Source organism: Homo sapiens, chromosome 2, assembly GCF_000001405.40.
Source record: "Homo sapiens chromosome 2, GRCh38.p14 Primary Assembly".
Taxonomy (NCBI): Eukaryota; Metazoa; Chordata; class Mammalia; order Primates; family Hominidae; genus Homo; species Homo sapiens.
This window is the reverse complement of record NC_000002.12, coordinates 63230783-63248850: the sequence shown is the minus strand read 5'-3', so window position 1 is coordinate 63248850 and position 18068 is coordinate 63230783. Positions and strand designations below refer to the sequence as shown.

The 18068-nt window shown below is 36.0% G+C and overlaps 1 protein-coding gene and 1 pseudogene across 19 annotated transcripts in view; both read left to right on the top strand.

Annotated features, from left to right (window-relative positions):
* The window catches only part of WDPCP (WD repeat containing planar cell polarity effector), a 721268-nt gene that overhangs the window by 591976 nt on the left and 111224 nt on the right, over positions 1-18068 (top strand). The gene's annotated exons all lie outside the window — the stretch shown is intronic.
* On the top strand, positions 14821-16518 carry MTFR2P1 (MTFR2 pseudogene 1; annotated as a pseudogene).

Genomic DNA, 18068 nt, shown 5'->3' with positions numbered 1-18068 from the left:
GAAGCAACTGAAAAGTCCCATAACTGAATTTAAAAATTTACTAGAGAAGTTCAAGGTTTGAGTAGGCAGAAGAAAAAAAATCAGCCAACTTTATGATACGATATTTGAAATTATCAATTCTAAGGACCAAGAAGAATTATGAAAAGTGAACTAAACCTATGAGATTTATGGGACATCATCAAATATACCAATATATACATTATGGGAGTCCCAGAAGGGGAAGAGAGAAAGGATCAGAAAGATTATGTGAAGAAATAATGACCAAAACCCTCCCAAATTTTAGGAAATACATGGATCCACAAATCCAAGATGCTCATTGAACAGAGAAAGGATCAGAAAGATGATCTGAAGAAATAATGACCAAAACCCTCCCAAATTTGAGGAAATACATGGATCCACAAATGTAAGATGCTCAATGAACTTCAAGTAGAATCAACCCAAAGGATACCTTATAATCAAATTGTTGAAAGAGAATCTGCAAGCAGCAAGAGAGAATAAACTCATCATATACAAGGGATTCTCAATAATGAGGGATTCTGACTTCTCAGCAGAAGCTTTGGAGGCCAGAAGGTATAATTAAAGTGCTAGAAGAAAAATAAAGATTAACCAAGAATTATATGTCCAGGAAGACTGGGCAGTCAAATATAAAAATCAGTATTATTATAATTTTAGTTTGTAACTCTACTTATTATTATCAACCTGAATTAAAACACAAAGGCATAAAAATAATTATAAAGCTCTTTAGTAGGTACACAATATATAAAGATGTAATTTGTGACATGAATAACAAAGTAGGGGAAGTGACAATGCTTTATAAGAGTTTTTGTATACACTTGAGGTTAACTTGATATCAATTTAAATTAGATTGTTGTAACTTTAGAATGTTATATATAATTCCCATGATAACCACAGAGAAAATAACTATCGAGTGTGTACAAAAGGAAATGAGAAGGGAATCAAAACATGTCACAACTAAAAACAAAAGAAGGCAGCAATGGAGGAAATGAGTAACAAAAAGCCTATATGTAAAAAACAAAACAAAACAAACAAAAAAACAGCTCTAAGACATAAGTCCTTCTCTCAGTAATTACGGGTTAACTGTTCACTGTCTGAAATGCTTGTTACCAGAAGTATTTTGGATTTGGGGTTTGTTTGGTGGTGTTTTTTTTTTTTTTTCAATTTTGGAATATTTACAGGTACATACTGAGATATCTTGAGGATGGTACCCAGGTCTAAACACAAAACACCTTACACACATAGCCTGAAGGCAATTTTATATAATATTTTTGATAATTTTGTGCATGCAACAAAGCTGTCTACATTGAACCAATGGAATGTAAAGGTGTCACTGTCTGAGCCACCCATGTGGACAATCTGTAATTGTTTGGCATCACCATCATTCCTGACTGAATTTATATGCTACCAATAAGCAGTCATTTTCTTACACATTCATTCATAAGTACTTAAGAGTAAACGTGTGACATACCATTACTACAGTAAAAAAATGTGTTCAGGATAACTAAGTAGTACAGTAGCATCATCAGAATACCTGTTATCAGCTGTTACACAACAGCAACAACAAACAATGGCAAGCTTTCTGCCTCTACCTACAATGTTGTGTTCTGAGTAAAAGATTACTGCATAGGGCATTTTATTTTTCTGGGTGAGAAAAACAGCAGCAGCAGTTAAAGAATCCGGAAGTGGGTCATCTAGGGATAAGAAGGAATCCTGTTCGATGGCATTTTGAAGTGTTTCCTTTAGAGTTATCTGCCTCATTAACAAAGGTTTTTGTCTTACAAATTTCTTTTTGGTTTTATAAACTGACATGATTTCTTGTTCATGCTGCTCTAGTCTTTCAATAAGCCCATCACACATTTTCACAGTGTCACTTCCAGGCACTTTTTCTGCAGTGTTAACAGTTTCATCATCACTATTATCATAATCACCTTGATTCAGAACCATTTTGGCTATTTCACCATTGGTCAATGAATGAACAACTGGATGCTCATTAGTGATGTTAAAAACCACTTCAATATCCATCTCTTCCAGCTTACTGATGGACTCTGAAGGTATATTTGTTGCATATGTAAGGAGGTCAGACATTTTTCTCTCACTTGACATACAGAATCCTTCAAAGTCACCACCTTGTTTATCATCATCAGTTAACGTAATCACAGGCCAGAGATTGTGCCAGTCACGCACAACTGTGTCTTTAGTCATGTGTTCAAAGTGTTGGCAACAGCACATGTGGCATCCTTCATGCTAAACATCCTTTTGAAAACCTTCTGCACCCATGCTTCTGCTCACTGCTGATAGGATGCTCTTTAAGAAAGTGTTTTTATATTTACTCTTCATTGATCTAAGGATACCCACCCTGGTCACATGGCTGAATTAATGAAGTCACACTTGGGGGAAAATACATGGCATGAACATTTTTTAATGAGAATTTCAGATGGAAGATGAGCAGAAGTTATCAAGGAATAACAAAATCTTGCAGTCATCACCCAGGCCAGCTTCCCTGCAGTGAGCACAAACCACTGGTGTAAAATGTTTATGAAACCGACCAGGAAAGATGGCCCTGGTGATCCATGCCTTTTTGTTAGCATAATAATGGACTGGTGAGAAATTCACTCCTGGAAAATAGCAAGGATGCAAACTTTTGCCTATCATAGCAAGTTTATAATTATGTGGGCCTGCTGTATTAATATATCTCAGCAGAGTTCTTCTGTCATTGGTATCCTTAATTCATATAGGGGCTGTCTCACCTGGGGCAGTAACAAAAACAGTGATGTTTCATCAATATTATAGACTTGTTCTGGTGTCAGATTTTTATTTCTGATGACCTTAGTGAACTCGTCAGTGAATCTGTCCACTGCTTTATAATCAGCAGATGCTTTATCACCACAAATTTTTAAAACAACTAAGAAAGCAGAATTGTAATGTTCCTAACACGAAAAATAGTAAGTGCTAAGGTGATGGATACCCCAGTTATCCTGATTTATTACATATTTTATCCCTATATCGAACATCACATGTACCCATAAATATATAGAACTATTATGTGCCCATAATTAAAAGTAATAATAAAAATTTAATGCCATATCTTCCTTAAATTTCTGCAACCAGCTTATTGAATATCCACAGTTCCCTTCAATTTTTAGTTCATCATGATCTTTGCTGGTTTCATGATCAGTATACCATTAAGTGGCATGTGTTCACTGCAATACTGATGGATCTACTCAATACATGATCAAAATCTTCATTTTTAGCTTTATGGCATGCATTGTTTTTCTATTTTTCATTAACTTAATCACTTTTAGCATAAAACAACAGTTTATCCTCCTGTGTATACAAGTCATTTATAGTGGTTGTTCCAACACCCTTCTGCTCTCCAAGATGTTTTACAGTTACACCACTGTCCTTTTCTCAAAAAGCTCGACTTTCTGTGCAATAAATATAAATGCTTCTTCTTTTTCTTATCACTGTTACCCGTACAATTATTTAATATAGACTATTTGGACATTTCATGAATATCTTTACAAAGAGCAGAGAATACACAAAACGACACAGTGAGTAATACACATAGGTCTTGGCCTTATGCAGGGTATCATGGGGAACCTGACATTGGCACACCTGGCTTGCACTTGTGCCATTTTATTAACCTTTGTGGGTGTGCTTGTGTGAGGGCATCTAGCTGTGTCTGGAAAAGATATGACAGCTGAGGGGGCGGGGGAAAGTCTTTCTTCCTTGGGAACATTTAATAAACTGTGCGTGCATGCATTTTTATTGCCACCTGTCACAGGCGGTCAGATGTAGAATTTCCACTTATGCCATCAATATTGGCACTCAAAAAAATATGAGGTTTTGGATCACTTCAGATTTTGGATTTTTGGATTGAGGATGCTCAACCTATGCTTTAAATGTAATGGATTAAACTCTCTAGTCAACTTCACACTGATAGAAGTTGCAGATAGGACTTGGCTTGTGAGTTATGTGAATAAGGATAACTGACCGACACCCATCTCAAAATAAGTGAAAATGGGAATACGTCACTGCAATCATGGGATACATACTAGCAGCAAAGAGGGGAAATGTGGCTGTACCTCAGAAATAGCTGGACTTATTAAAAATTACTTATTTGATTTCGGAATTTGTTATTGGTCTGTTTAGGGTTTTAATTTCTTCCTGGCTCAGTAGTGGGAGGTTGTGTGTTTACAGGAATTTATCCATTTCCTCTAGATTTTCCAGTTTGTGTGCATAGAGGTGTTCATCGTAATCTGTAAGGATCTTTTATATTTTTATGGGATCAGTTGTAATGTCATGTTTGTCATTTCGGATTGTGCTTATTTGGATCTCTCTTTTTTTCGTTGTTAATCTAGCCAAGCTAGCAGTCTACCAATCATTTATCCTTTCAAAGAACCAACTTTTGGTTTCATTGATCTTTTGTATGGATTTTTGCCTCTCAATTTTGTTCAGTTTTGCTCTGATATTATTTCTTTTCTTCTGCTATCTTTGGGGTTAGTTTTTTGCTGTGGTTGTTGTTCCTCTATGTGTGATGTTAGATTGTTAATTTGAACTTTTTCTAACTTCTTGATGTAGGTGTTTAACTATAAACTTTCCTCTTAATACTGTGTTTACTGCACCCAGAGATTTCGGTAAGTTGTGTCTCTGTTTTCATTAATTTCAAGAAATTATTTGATTTCTGCCTTAATGCCCAAAATAATTCAAGAGTAAGTTGTTTAATTTCCATGTAATTGTGTGGTTTTGAGAGACCTTTGATATTGATTTCTATTTTTATTGCACTGTGGTCTAAGAGTGTCGTTTGGTATGATTTTAATTTTTTTTTTCATTTATTGAGACTTGCTTTATGGCCAAGCATGTGGTCAATCCTATGTGGTCAATCCTAGAATATGTTGTGTGTGCAGATGAGAAGAATGTATATTCTGTGGTTGTTGCATGGAGCATTCTGTAGATGTTTATTAGGTCTAATTGGCCAAGTGTCGAGTTGAAGTCTAGAAGTTCTTTGTTACTTTTCTGCCTTGATGACCTGTCTAATGCTGTCAGTGTGCTGTTGAAGCCCCCGAAGTCCCCCATTATTATTGTACAGCTGTCTTAGTCTTTTCATAGGTCTAGAAGTACTTGTTTTATGAATTTGGGAGCTCCAGTGTTGGGTGTATATACATTTAGGATAGTTAAGTCTTCTTGATAAATTGAACACTTTATCATTATATGATACCCTTCTTTGTCCTTTTTGATGCTTGCTGGTTTAAAGTCTGTTTTCTATGATCTAAGAATAGCAACTCCTGCTCTTTTTTGTTTTCTGCTTTCATGAAAGAGCTTCAGCACAGCAATAGAAACTATCAATGAAGTAAACAGGCAATCTACAAAATGGGAGATGTTCACAAACTATGCATACAACAAAGGCCTAATATCCAGAATCTGTGAGAAAATTAAATAAATCACAAGAAAAAAATAACCCAATTAAAAGTGGGCAAAGGACATGAACTATGCAAAAGAAGACATACAAGCCCCCAAGAAACATGAAAAAATGCTAATCATCACTAACCATCAGAGAGATGCAAATCAAAACCACAATGAGACACTCTATCAATCACACCAGCCATTTGTGTGAGGAAAGTAATAGAGATGGCCATTCAATAAGTTTTCCCTTAAATAAGACTGTATTTTTATATTGTGTCATTTCTAGCATAAGCCTGAGAAGTCAGATTGACATATGTCTACAGTACAATACAGTTATGAAGTGAAATAGTCTAAGCTACTGTAAAACAAGAGACCATGAAACCCAGTAACTTCAGCAAGAGAATTTTCTTTCCTTCTTGTATAACAATCCTGGGACGTGTTCCAGGACTGGTAAGGCATGCTGGTATTAGATTACTAGGCCTTATCTATTGTGTTACTTTGTCATCTCTAGGGTAAAGCCTTCATCTACATCATTGAAGATTTGCATCCCAGCCTACAAAAGGAGGAAAAAGGAGGCAGGCATAGTCCTATCTTGTTCAGGCTACAACCCAGGAGTTGTTACATATCACTTCTGTACATATCCCATTGGACAGAACCTGTTCCTAAGGCTACACTAACCATAAGAAAGTCTGGGGTGATTATGCACCCAGCAAAACACCAGTTACTGTAAAAGCAAAAGCCATTTGGGGACAGCTAGCAGTTCATCTGTTACACTGAGATTTGAAGAATAGCATTTATTTATTTTTTAGAGACAATGTCTCGCTCTGTTGCCACGGCTAGAGTGCAGTGGCGCCATCATAGCTCACTGCAGCCTCAAACTTCCAGGCACAAGCAATCCTCCTGCCTCAGCTTCCTGTGTAGCTGGGACTATAGGAGTGCAACACCATTCCTGGTTAACTTCTTATTTGAAGAATATTATTTAGAAAAAGAAAAACATGGAGAAACAACTTCTTTTATATAATCCTCATATGCAGAGAAATGAAAATATAAAAGAAATCCTTTTCAAAGACATCCCAGCTGTACTTAATGTGGCGGTCTACAAATTTGCATATTATGAAATCCTTCCAAATGCATTATATTTCCAAATACATTTATCATATATGATCTTGCAGATACTATGCTATAAAAAAGCTGTAGCATTATAAGTTGCCATCTCCTTTTAAAATGTATTTTAAAATTCTGATATAAAAGCTTATTCATGCTTAAATGGGTAACATTAGAGAATGTAATATAAAGAATGTAAAAGATAAAGATCACTCATATTATTACCTGGAGATAACTGATAAAAAGAGTTATTTTAGTGTATTTAATTCCCTTTTTTCTATGCATATATTTAACAAAATTGGAATCATTATTTATCTTCCTATTTGTTACCAGAGACATGTCATCACTACATTACCATGTCATTTTAAAAATCATTCAAAAGCTTGATTTTTTATGTTATCTTCTTCCTAAAATGGCATTAAAGTCATGAGCCTAGGTGCAGTGGCTCACACATGTCATCCCAGCACTTGCAGAGGCTGAGGCAGGAGGATTGCTTGAGCCCAGAAGTTTGAGACCAGCCTGGACAGCACAGTGAGACCTCATGTCTACAAAAATTAAAAATTTAGCTGGGCATGGTGGCAAACACCTGTAATCTAGCTACTTGAGAAGCTGAGATAGAACATCATTTGAGCCCAGGAGTTTGAGGTCACAGGGAGTTATGATCAGGCCACTATACTCTAGCCTTGACTACAGAGCAAGACTGTCTCTAAAAATACTTTAAAAATTAAAAATCATGGTACCATTGTAAACATATATAAAAATTCTATCCAAGAGGTGATACATGGATGAAGGTAAAGATTTGCTCTTATACTTTAAATATCTTATTGTAAATACAAAATTCTTCTAAACTGAAGCTACAAAAGCAGTTTTTAATTCTATAAACAATTGAAACTGCGGCCAACTCTTTAACTTCCTACACTGTGCATTACAGGGTGCGTTATATTATTTGTTTGACTTAGGTATATTCCTGCCAATCTACTTTTGGCTTCACTTCACCTTTCCTCCTTTATTATGTAATGATGTCAGTTTTGATCTAAACCTTACTACCTATAGGCATCTTTCCCTAAAGACATCCTAAATATTTCATAATTATGAGCACATCAAAGACTAACTGCTTGCTTGACTGCAGAGGTCTATACAAGACTGTATTACTTGTATATCTTAAGAGATGTACAGTTTTCAGTAATCTTATTAAGTATGCTATGATTATCAAACCTTTGTTCCTTTCTTTGTGGTGACATAATGTCAATCACAGAATGTGACATATGGTAATTAAGAATTGGTGTTATTGAATAAGTATGGATTTTCTCTAAATTAGTTATTTTCAGATGGAAACTTTCCATAATTTAAATGTTATTTAACATATTTTTGAATTCTGAAATACTAGATTACTATATTCCAAAACAAGTTGTCAACTCTTCAGAACTTACCTAGTCATAAAATGACAGTTACTAAGCAAAAGGTAGTGGTCTTTTCCTGTGGAGAAAGGTACAAATGTTAAATGTTATGCTTTTAGCCCTTCTGTTTTTCTTTCTGAGACAGGAGTTGAAAGTCTCAAACCTCTTTCTCTGCTTTACTTATTAGACTAGCAAATTATGCCAATCTGGGGCAGAATAACCCGTATTCACATTTTCTATAAGAAAATAATGAAAGAATTTTGCTCAAGGATTGGTATATAACATTAAGGGTAACTAATGAAACTATGTAGTTAAAGAATAAACAGAATACGTGTCCAATGTAGCTAGTGTGGAGTATAACAAAAATATCTTCTATCAATAATTCCAAAATGTGGATGGACAAGTAGATTTATGCAGTTATATGGTACAAACTAAGAATATACTAAGGATGGGCCAGTCATGGTGGTTCATGCCTGTAATACCAAAGACTCAAGAGGCCAAGGTGGGAGGATAGCTTGAGGCCAGGAGTTTGAGACCAGCTTGGGCAATATATCAAGACCACAACTCTACCAAAAATTTTAAAGCTAGCTCGGGGTGGTGGCACGCACCTGCAGCCCTAGCTACTTGGGAGGCTGAGGTAGGAGGATCACTTGGGCCAAGAGTTTGAGGTTACAGTGAGTTGTGATCATGCCACTGCACTCCAGCCTGGGCAACAGAGCGAGACCCTGTCTATAAAAAACAAAAAATACTAAGAGTGATGGGAAAGCTGAGGTCTAGTCTTGGCTAAACTAGTAAAGACTAGCCAAATAACACTTCAACAGTCCCTTTTTGGGGTCTCAGTTTGCTCTATTATAAAATAAAGATACAGAAGAGTCTGTCTTTTCCAGCAGTAAAATTTTATGCATGTGATTAGATATGACAAAATAGAATCCAAACTCAGGCACTATAAAATTCTAGCCAACATATAACTCTGTGAAAAAATCATTTATTCATATCCATTTAATAGTACAAACAAACCCATACTAAAATAATAAGCTTGAATATTCTCTTAGAGGATTTCCTTAGAGGGGAAATTGCTTTATTCAAAAGATACTTTTAAATTAAATCCTCTTAGATACTGCCTTTAAAAGACGTTATACTAAATTTAAAAGTGTAGCAAAAAGCATAACATTAAAGTGCCCAAGCAGAGGAGCTATTATAGAAACAAGAATTTCTAAATAAACAGAATGATTTAACATATATTAGCTAACAAAACTCATAAAATTATCGAACTTTAGAGCTAAATTTGGACCTCTTACAGATATTTTACATGTATAAAATTCTCAGTATGTCAGAATTTATATCAATTCTGAAGGTAATCTTCCTATGCCCTTATTATGTCCCTAGGAAATCTCTATTCACAAATGTTTGTTATGTAGTTGGCCTACTAAGTTTCTAAGTTACAATCATGTATCTTGTTTTATCAAAATTAAATGTCTTCACCTGTTTTTACCATTTTACAATTTACAAAATGGCTTCATATAACCATAAATCTATATTCTCAAGGGGAATTTGGAAAGAATCAGAGTTTTTATAGTCACTTAGTTTCCAAAGGCTTAAAGAAAATGAAATGCCCTGAACCCAGGAGGCGGAGCTTGCAGTGAGCAGAGATCACGCCACTGCACTCCAGCCTGGGTGAAAGAGCGAGACTCCGTCTCAAAAAAAAGAAAAGAAAATGCCCTACTTTCATAGAAATAATAATCCTATAATACTTTTTTGCTATAGGGCAGAATTTAATTTAAAGCTGATCTATTTCAGCTCCCACATACACCCATATATACACACACATATCTTTCAAGAATATAGATGTCAGCAACTCAAAGTATTCCAGTGCTGCACTGAGGCTGTATTCTACGGCCTCATGAGTGCCAATTATGTGCATCTCTTCCCAACTGTATGTTCAGTGACCATGTTGGTAGCTCAAAATTGGCCCTGGTAGGAATATTTATGTCGTGGAAATTGGCAAACTCTACAAATTGGTTGTTTTTTGGTTTGGGTTCTGGTTTGGTTTGTGGAGAGCTAGTTGTTAATCATTTAATAGTGCATAACTGAAGTAATGCCAGGTCATAGTTCATGAAGGCCATGTCTTCACCTATCAAAGAAAAGACCTATTACTCCCCTATTCTACAAATACAAGAACTGAAATTTTTTACTTTCACATATACTATTCCAACTTCCTAGGTTTGGACTAGAAGGATTAAAAAAGGGAGTAAGGTCCATGTCATATATGGTTTGTTGTGTGTCTTTAAACCTGTGTAGCAATGATGTCCAATAGAAATATAATGCAAGCCACAGACAGAATTTTAAATTATCTGATACATCTTAGGGTACATCTCAAATCAGATGTTAAATTTTCATTGGAAATACATGATCTATATTCATATTTCATAAAATTTACAGTTGAAGTAGTTTGTTACCCAAGTCGTTGTACACATTCTTTAAAATTTCACAATTACTAGATAGAATATCAATTTTTTAATTTAATTGAAATTAAATAAAATTTTAAAATGTAGTTCCCCAGTCACATGAGCCGTGTTTCAAGATTCAGTAGTCACATGCAGTAGTGTCTACCATATTGGAAACTGCAGCTTTACAACATCAATAATTCAGGAGTTTCCCAGAAGCTTAGGCCTTTTTCTGTGCTAGCTTATATTGTAGAATCAAAAATGAATTATTTCACTTTTCAGTGGTGTAATTATCTGAGACAAAAATAACCTTTGAAGAATGAGTTGCTAATAGTTATTAATAGCTGTCTAACAAAAAAATTTGTATTATTGCTATAATCATGAAAAGGTTCACATGATATACCACCTGCCATTTTGGGCATGTCATCTTATTTAACAATTAACTCATGAAGCTGTAGCTGCATTTTGTTGTTTTTTTTTTTAGAAAATATTTATTTTTAATTTTCATTTGAGACTAGGGGAATGCATGTACAGGTTTGTTACAAGGGTATATTGCCTAATGCTGAGGTTTCGGCTTCTATTGACCCTGTCACCCAGAGAGTGAATATAGTACCTAACAAGTTTTTCAGCCCTTGCCCCTCTCTTTCCCTCTTTCCTTTTGGAGCCACCAGTGTGTGCTGTTCCCATATTTACATCTGTGTATACCCAGGGTTTAGCTGCTCCTACTTTATAAGAGAACATAGAATATTTCATTTTCTGTTTCTGCATTATTTCACTTATGATAATGCCTCCAGTTGCATCCATGTTGCTGCAAAGGACATGATTTCATTCTTTTTTATGACTGACTACATAGTATTCCATGGTGTATATGTACCACATTTTCATTATCCAGTTCACCATTATGGGCACTAAGGTTGTTTCCATATCTTTGCACTTGTGAGTAGTGCTACAATAAGCTTACAAGGCCGGGTATCTTTGGTAGCACAATTTTCCTTTGGGTATAAACACGGTAGTGGGATTACTGGATGTAATTGTAGTTCAACTCAGTTTTTTTAGAAATCTCCAAACTGCTTTCTACTGGGGCTGAACTGATTTTTGCATTCCCACCAACAGTGTATAAGCATTCCCTTTTCTCTGTAGCCTTGCCAACATCTGCTGTTTTTTAATTTTTTAACAAAAGCCATTCTGGTTGGTGTGAGATGGTATCTCATTGTGGTTTTGATTTGCATTCCTCTGATGATTAATGATATTAAGCATGTTTTTAATGTTTGGCCACTTGTATGTCTTCTTTTGAGTAGTGTCTTTTCATGTCCTTTGCCCACTTTTTAATGGGGTTATTTTTTTTTTCTTAATGATTTGTTTAAGTTCCTTATAGATTCCGGATATTAGTCCTTTGTTGGAGGTGTAGTTTGTAAATATTTTCTCCCATTCTGTAGGTTATCTATTTATTCTGTTGATAGTTTCTTTTGCTGTGCAGAAGTTCTTTAGTTTAAGCAGGTCCCGATATTTCATTTTTGTTACTGTTGTAATTGCTTTTGAGGATGTCTATCAAGTCATAAATTCTTTGGCTGTGTCAATTTCCACAAGAGTATTTCTTAGGTTTTGTTCTAGGATTTTTATATTTTGAGGTTTTACATTCAAGTCTTATTCATCTTGACTTAATTTTTGTATATGTTGAGAGGTAGGGGTCCAGCTTCATTCTTCTGCATATGGCTAGCCTATTTTCCCAGCATCATTTATTATATAGGGAGTCCTTTCCCCATTGCTTATTTTTGTTGGCTTTTTGAAGATCAGTTGGTTGTAGGCGTACAGCTTTATTTCAGCATTCTCTATTCTGTTCCACTCTATTCTGTATATCTGTTTTTGTACCAGTACCATGCTGTTTCGGTTACTGCAGTCTTGTAATGTCGTTTGAAGTCAGATAGTCTGATGCCTCCAGCTTTATTCTTTTTGCTTAGGATTGCTATGGCTATTCAGCCTCTTTTTAAATTCCATGTGAATTTTGGAATAGTTTTTTCTAATTCTGTGAAAAATGACCTTGGTAACTGGATAGGAATAGCATTTAATCTGTGGATTGCTTTGGGTGGTATGGACATTTTAGTGACATTAATTCTTCCAATCCATGCACATGGAAGTTTTTCCATTTGTTTGTGTCATCTATTATTTCTTTCAGCAGTGTTTTGTGGTTCTTGTGGAGACCTTTCACTTTCTTGGTTAGGTGTATTCTTAAGTATTTTATTTTGTGTGTGGCTACTGTAAGTGGGATTAAGTTCTTGACTTGGCTCTCAGCTTGAACGTTATTGGGATATAGAAATGGCACTGATTTTTGTACATTGATTTTGTATCCAAAACTTTACAGAAGTCATTTATCAGGTCTAGGAGTCTCCTGGTGAAGTACTTAGGGTTTTCTACATACAGAATCATATTATCAGCAAAGAGAGATAATTTGACTTCCTTTTTGGATGCCTTTGATTTCTTTCTCTTCTCCTGATTTCTCTGACTAGGGCTTCCAGTACTTTTTTGAATGGGAGTGTGGGCATCTTTGTGTTGTTCCTGTTCCTAAGGGGAATGCTTCCAGTTTTTGCCCACGCAGTACGATGTTGGCTGTGGGTTTGTCATAGATGGCTCTTATTATTGTGAGGTTTGTTCTTTCTATGCCTAGTTTGTTGAGGGTTTTTATCAAGAAGGATGTTGGATGTTATCAAAGGCTTTTTCTGTGTCTCTTGAAATGATCATATGGTTTTTTTTTAATTCTGTTTATGTGGTGAATCACATTTATTGATTTGCGTATGTTGAACCAACCTTGCATCCCAGAAATAAAGCCTGCTTGATCATGGTGAATTGACTTTTTAATTTGCTGCTGGATTTGATGTGTTAGAATTTTGTCGAGGATTTTTGCATATATGTTCATCAGGGATGTTGGCCTGTGGTTTTCTGTTTTCATTGTGTCTTTGCCAGGTGTTGGTATCAAGGTGGTTCTGGCATCATAGAATGAGTTAAGAAGGAGTTGCCTTCTACTTAATTTCTGGAATAGTTTCAGTAGGATTGGTACAAGTTCTTCTTTGTACATCTGGTTTAATTCACCTGTGAATCCATCTGTGCCAGGGCTTTTTTTGATTGGTAGCCTTTTTATTACTGATTCATTTTCACAACTTGTTGTTTACTGTTCTGTTCAGGGTTTCACCTTCTTTCTGGCTCAATCTTGGGTGGTTGTGTGTTTCCAGGAGTTTATCTGTTCCCTCTACATTTTCTACTTTGTGTACATTGAGGTGTTTGTATCAGTTTCTGAGGATCTTTTGTATATCTGTGGGATCTGTTGTAATGTCTCCTTTGTCACTTCTGATTGTGCTTATTTGGATCTTCTCTCTTTTTTCTTTGTTAATGTAGCTAGTGGCCTATTAATCCTGCTTAGCCTTTCAAAGAACCAACTTTTCGTTTATCCTTTATATTATTTTTGGTGTCAGTTTCTTTAGTTCTGCTCTAATTTTAGTTATTTAGCTTCTTCTGTCTTCACAGCATTTTGAAGAAGAGCTTAATGATGTTTATATTAGTGGTAATAAATGCTAAGCATTTATGGAGTACTTTTCATCTTTGAAGGGCTTTACAAATAGTTATTAATCTGATAACATAAAAATATATCATTTCTGTTAGAAGTGAATTATAGAGCCAAAGAGGGCATTTCTTCTCAACAAAAACCATGAGTACGCTTGTCATACATTCTATACTACAATGTACATAAACTTGTGTTAATATCTTATTCCTGAATAAGACAAAATATTCATATTAACTAAGTTTTCTGATTCTAAGTACCATAATAAACTAATCACAGAGAAAAATGATTCTTCTTTAATGTTTATCACCTGTGTATTGTCTACAAAATTAACAAAAGCCAGCCACAGCTTTCTTGATTATATGTACTTTAAAATGGCATTTTTATGTTATTTATCCTCTCAACTGCCATCCAAATTATTATATCATCCATTTTGTAGACATTCCAGCTTTCAAAGGGATTACTTGCATCATTTTTTTAAGAGATGAAATCTTGCTCTGTCACCCAGGCTGGAATGCAGTGGCATGTTCATAGCTCACTGCAGCCCCAAACTCCTGGGCTTAAGCAATCATCCTGCCTCATTTTCCCAAGGATCTGGGATTACAGGTGCAAGCCACAGTGCCCACTTCATTTAATATTGTTATCTCAACAACACTAAAAGATAGATGGTAACAGGTGTTGTTATACCCATTTATTCTTTTCGATGAAACTCAGGCTAGGTGACTTGCTCAAAGTTAACATACTGATTGGTGCAAGAACTAGAGCCAGAATCTAGGTATTGTGATTTTAGCCACCCTTATTTAGTATTTACTGTATGATGGAGAATGTGTTGAACACTGTTCATACATTATCTCATTTTATGGTTACGGCCACCTCACAACATATCTATTTTACCCATGAGTAAAAATTATGATGCTGAGAGACTGTTACATATAGGTCTTTTTACCCTAAGCATATGTTCTTAATTTTTATAATACTATGCTGAATCTACAAATGGAATACTGGGTAGGTTGGCTGGGCACAGGAGATGGCTGCACCTCCTGCAGAGTTAACCTTGGCTGAGCAAGAGGCTCCAGGGCTGGGCACCAGATCAACCTCATACCCCTAAGTGAGGGCATCATTAATGTCTGTGGCCTGCAAGTCGAGGCATGCAGGCAGTCACTGGGTCAACATCTGAGCACTCCTGGACCAGAACCAGTGCATTCCAGAATTCTTGAATTGAGGATACTAAGACAGGGATTCATAATGCCCTCTGCTTGATGTGCTGGTGGTTGCCAGGAGGCTTGGCTTCAGATTCAGAGGAAGATACCAAAAAACTGATCGTTTCCTTGAATTGGCTTTTCTATTTACTTCGTCTGTGTCTCTCATATTGAATATCCTAAGAGAGATGCTGGAATATTTTGGCGTTCCTCTAGAAGAAGTTTTACCGATTGGAGAAAATAAAGAATGTGGATCAAGTAGGAATATCATTTGTATTATTGGGAAAATACTTCCATTAGAACTTTGTAGAGGACTTAATTTTGAGTTGGTCCCACTCTTGAACTGTGTAGACTCTGTGGATTTATGGTTCCATCTTTTGCTGATATTTTCTGTGTGGCAAATGATGAAGAAGCCAGCTAGCTCTGATTTTTTAATAGTATACAGAAAAAAGAAAAGAACAAAATTGAATTTTTCCATATTTTGCAACTAATTTGGGATCCATTGTCCCTACCCTAAGACATAACAAACCGGTGAAAAAAGATCTGCCTGCAAATGAAGCTGCAATTTAAAAAAGTAGTTGTCCTTGAAGTTAATTTTTGTTTTGGCTGTCACATTGCTGCAATTGTGGAAATGCAGGAACTTAAAAAGAGTACAAATTCTAGCTCCTTTGGCTTGAACGACAGGCCCATTAGTTTGAGACAAATGCCAACATGGGGGGCTGCTCAGATGAGTTTCCAACTTAAAGTCAGATCAGTTTCCAAGTTCAATGCTTTCTTTTCCTCCTTGCTTCCTTCTCCACCACCACCACTTCCTCCTCAGTTTTCTTCTCTCCAGCCTCCATATTCCTCCCGTACAACCAGGATCTAATATTTGTAACTCAGATAATCCAGCTACTGAAATAAACAAAGAGCATGCAGGTGCTAGTAAGACCAATTATAATTATCATTAAAAAAAGCCAGAGAAATATATTCCAAACATATTGGATGTTCTAAAGGATATGAAAAAGGTTAAGCTTAATGTGATTGAATGGTCACCTAGCAGCAAACCCATTCATAAGAGGAAAAGACAAAATTCATATTAGGACCCGATGTCTTTAATATCTCATGCACTTATGCAGAAATTTGCATTTCAAGATTCTTTTGAGAAAGTAAATACATCTTGAGAGTCTTCCCCATTTTCTAGTTCAATAACTTCAAGGTTTGGACATCACATTTCGCAGTAAGGACAGTGAACTAAAGCAAAACTGATAAACACAGCAGCTGTTGGCCAAGGTATCAGCAACAAAATCTGTGTCTAAACTTAGAAGGAAAGATTGCAAAAATACACCAGCCTGTCTTTCACTACATTTCAAAGGATCTTCTCTTCTGTTAAATGAAGTTAAAGAAACTCTGTATGCTGGAATATGCTAGTGTGGAGGTCCGAAAAGTCTGGACTCTTAAGAATACCTTGTCTCAAAGTCCTTGGCCATGCCTATGGTCTGAATGGTATTTCCTACGTTTGCTTCTAGGGTTTTTATGGTTTTAGGTCTAACATTTAAGTCTTTAATCCATCTTGAATTAATTTTTGTATAAGGCGTAAGGAAGGGATCCAGTTTCAGCTTTCTACCTATGGCTAGCCAGTTTTCCCAGTACCATTTATTAAATAGGGAATCCTTTCCCCATTGCTTGTTTTTGTCAGGTTTGTCAAAGACCAGATGGTTGTAGATGTGTGGTATTATTTCCGGGGGCTCTATTCTGTTGCATTGGTCTATATCTCTGTTTTGGTACCAGTACCATGCTGTTTTGGGTACTGTAGCCTTGTAGTATAGTTTGAAGTCAGGTAACGTGATGCCTCCAGCTTTGTTCCTTTGGCTTAGGATTATCTTGGCAATGTGGGCTCTTTTTTGTCTCCATATGAACTTTAAAGTAGTTTTTTCCAATTCTGTGAAGAAAGTCAATGGTAGCTTGATGGGGATGGCATTGAATCTATAAATTACCTTGGGCAGTATGGCCATTTTCATGATATTGATTCTTCCTATCCATGAGCATGGAATGTTCTTCCATTTGTTTGTGTCCTCTTTTATTTCATCAAGCAGTGGTTTGTAGTTCTCCTTGAAGAGGTCCTTCACATCCCTTGTAAGTTGGATTCCTAGGTATTTTATTCTCTTTGAAGCAATTGTGAATGACAGTTCACTCATGATTTGGCTCTCGGCTTGTCTGTTATTGGTGTATAGGAATTCTTGTGATTTTTGCACATTGATTTTGTATCCTGAAACTTTGCTGAAGTTGCTTATCAGCTTAAGGAGATTTTGGGCTGAGATGATGGGGTTTTCTAAATATATAATCATGTCATCTGCAAACAGGGACAATTTGACTTCCTCTTTTCCTAACTGAATACTCTTTATTTCCTTCTCTTGCCTGATTGCCCTGGCCAGAACTTCCAAAACTATGTTGAATAGGAGTGGTGAGAGAGGGCATCCCTGTCTTGTGCGACTTTTCAAAGGGAATGCCTCCAGTGTTTGCCCATTCGGTATGACACTGGCTGTGGGTTTGTCATAAATAGCTCTTATTATTTTGAGATATGTCCCATGAATACCTAGTTTACATGTGGTTTTTGTCTTTGGTTCTGTTTATATGATGGATTACGTTTATTGATTTGCATATATTGAACCAGCCTTGCATCCCAGGGATGAAGCCCACTTGATCGTGGTGGATAAGCTTTTTGATGTGCTGCTGGATTCAGTTTGCCAGTATTTTATTGAGGATTAAAACGCCAAAAGCAATGGCAACAAAAGCCAAAGTTGAGAAATGGGATCTGATTAAATTAAGGAGCTTCTGCACAGTGAAAGAAACTACCATCAGAGTGAACAGGCAACCTACAGAATGGGAGAAAATTTTTGCAATCTACCCATCTGACAAAGAGCTAATATCTAGAATCTACAAAGAACTTAAACAAATTCACAAGAAAAAATCA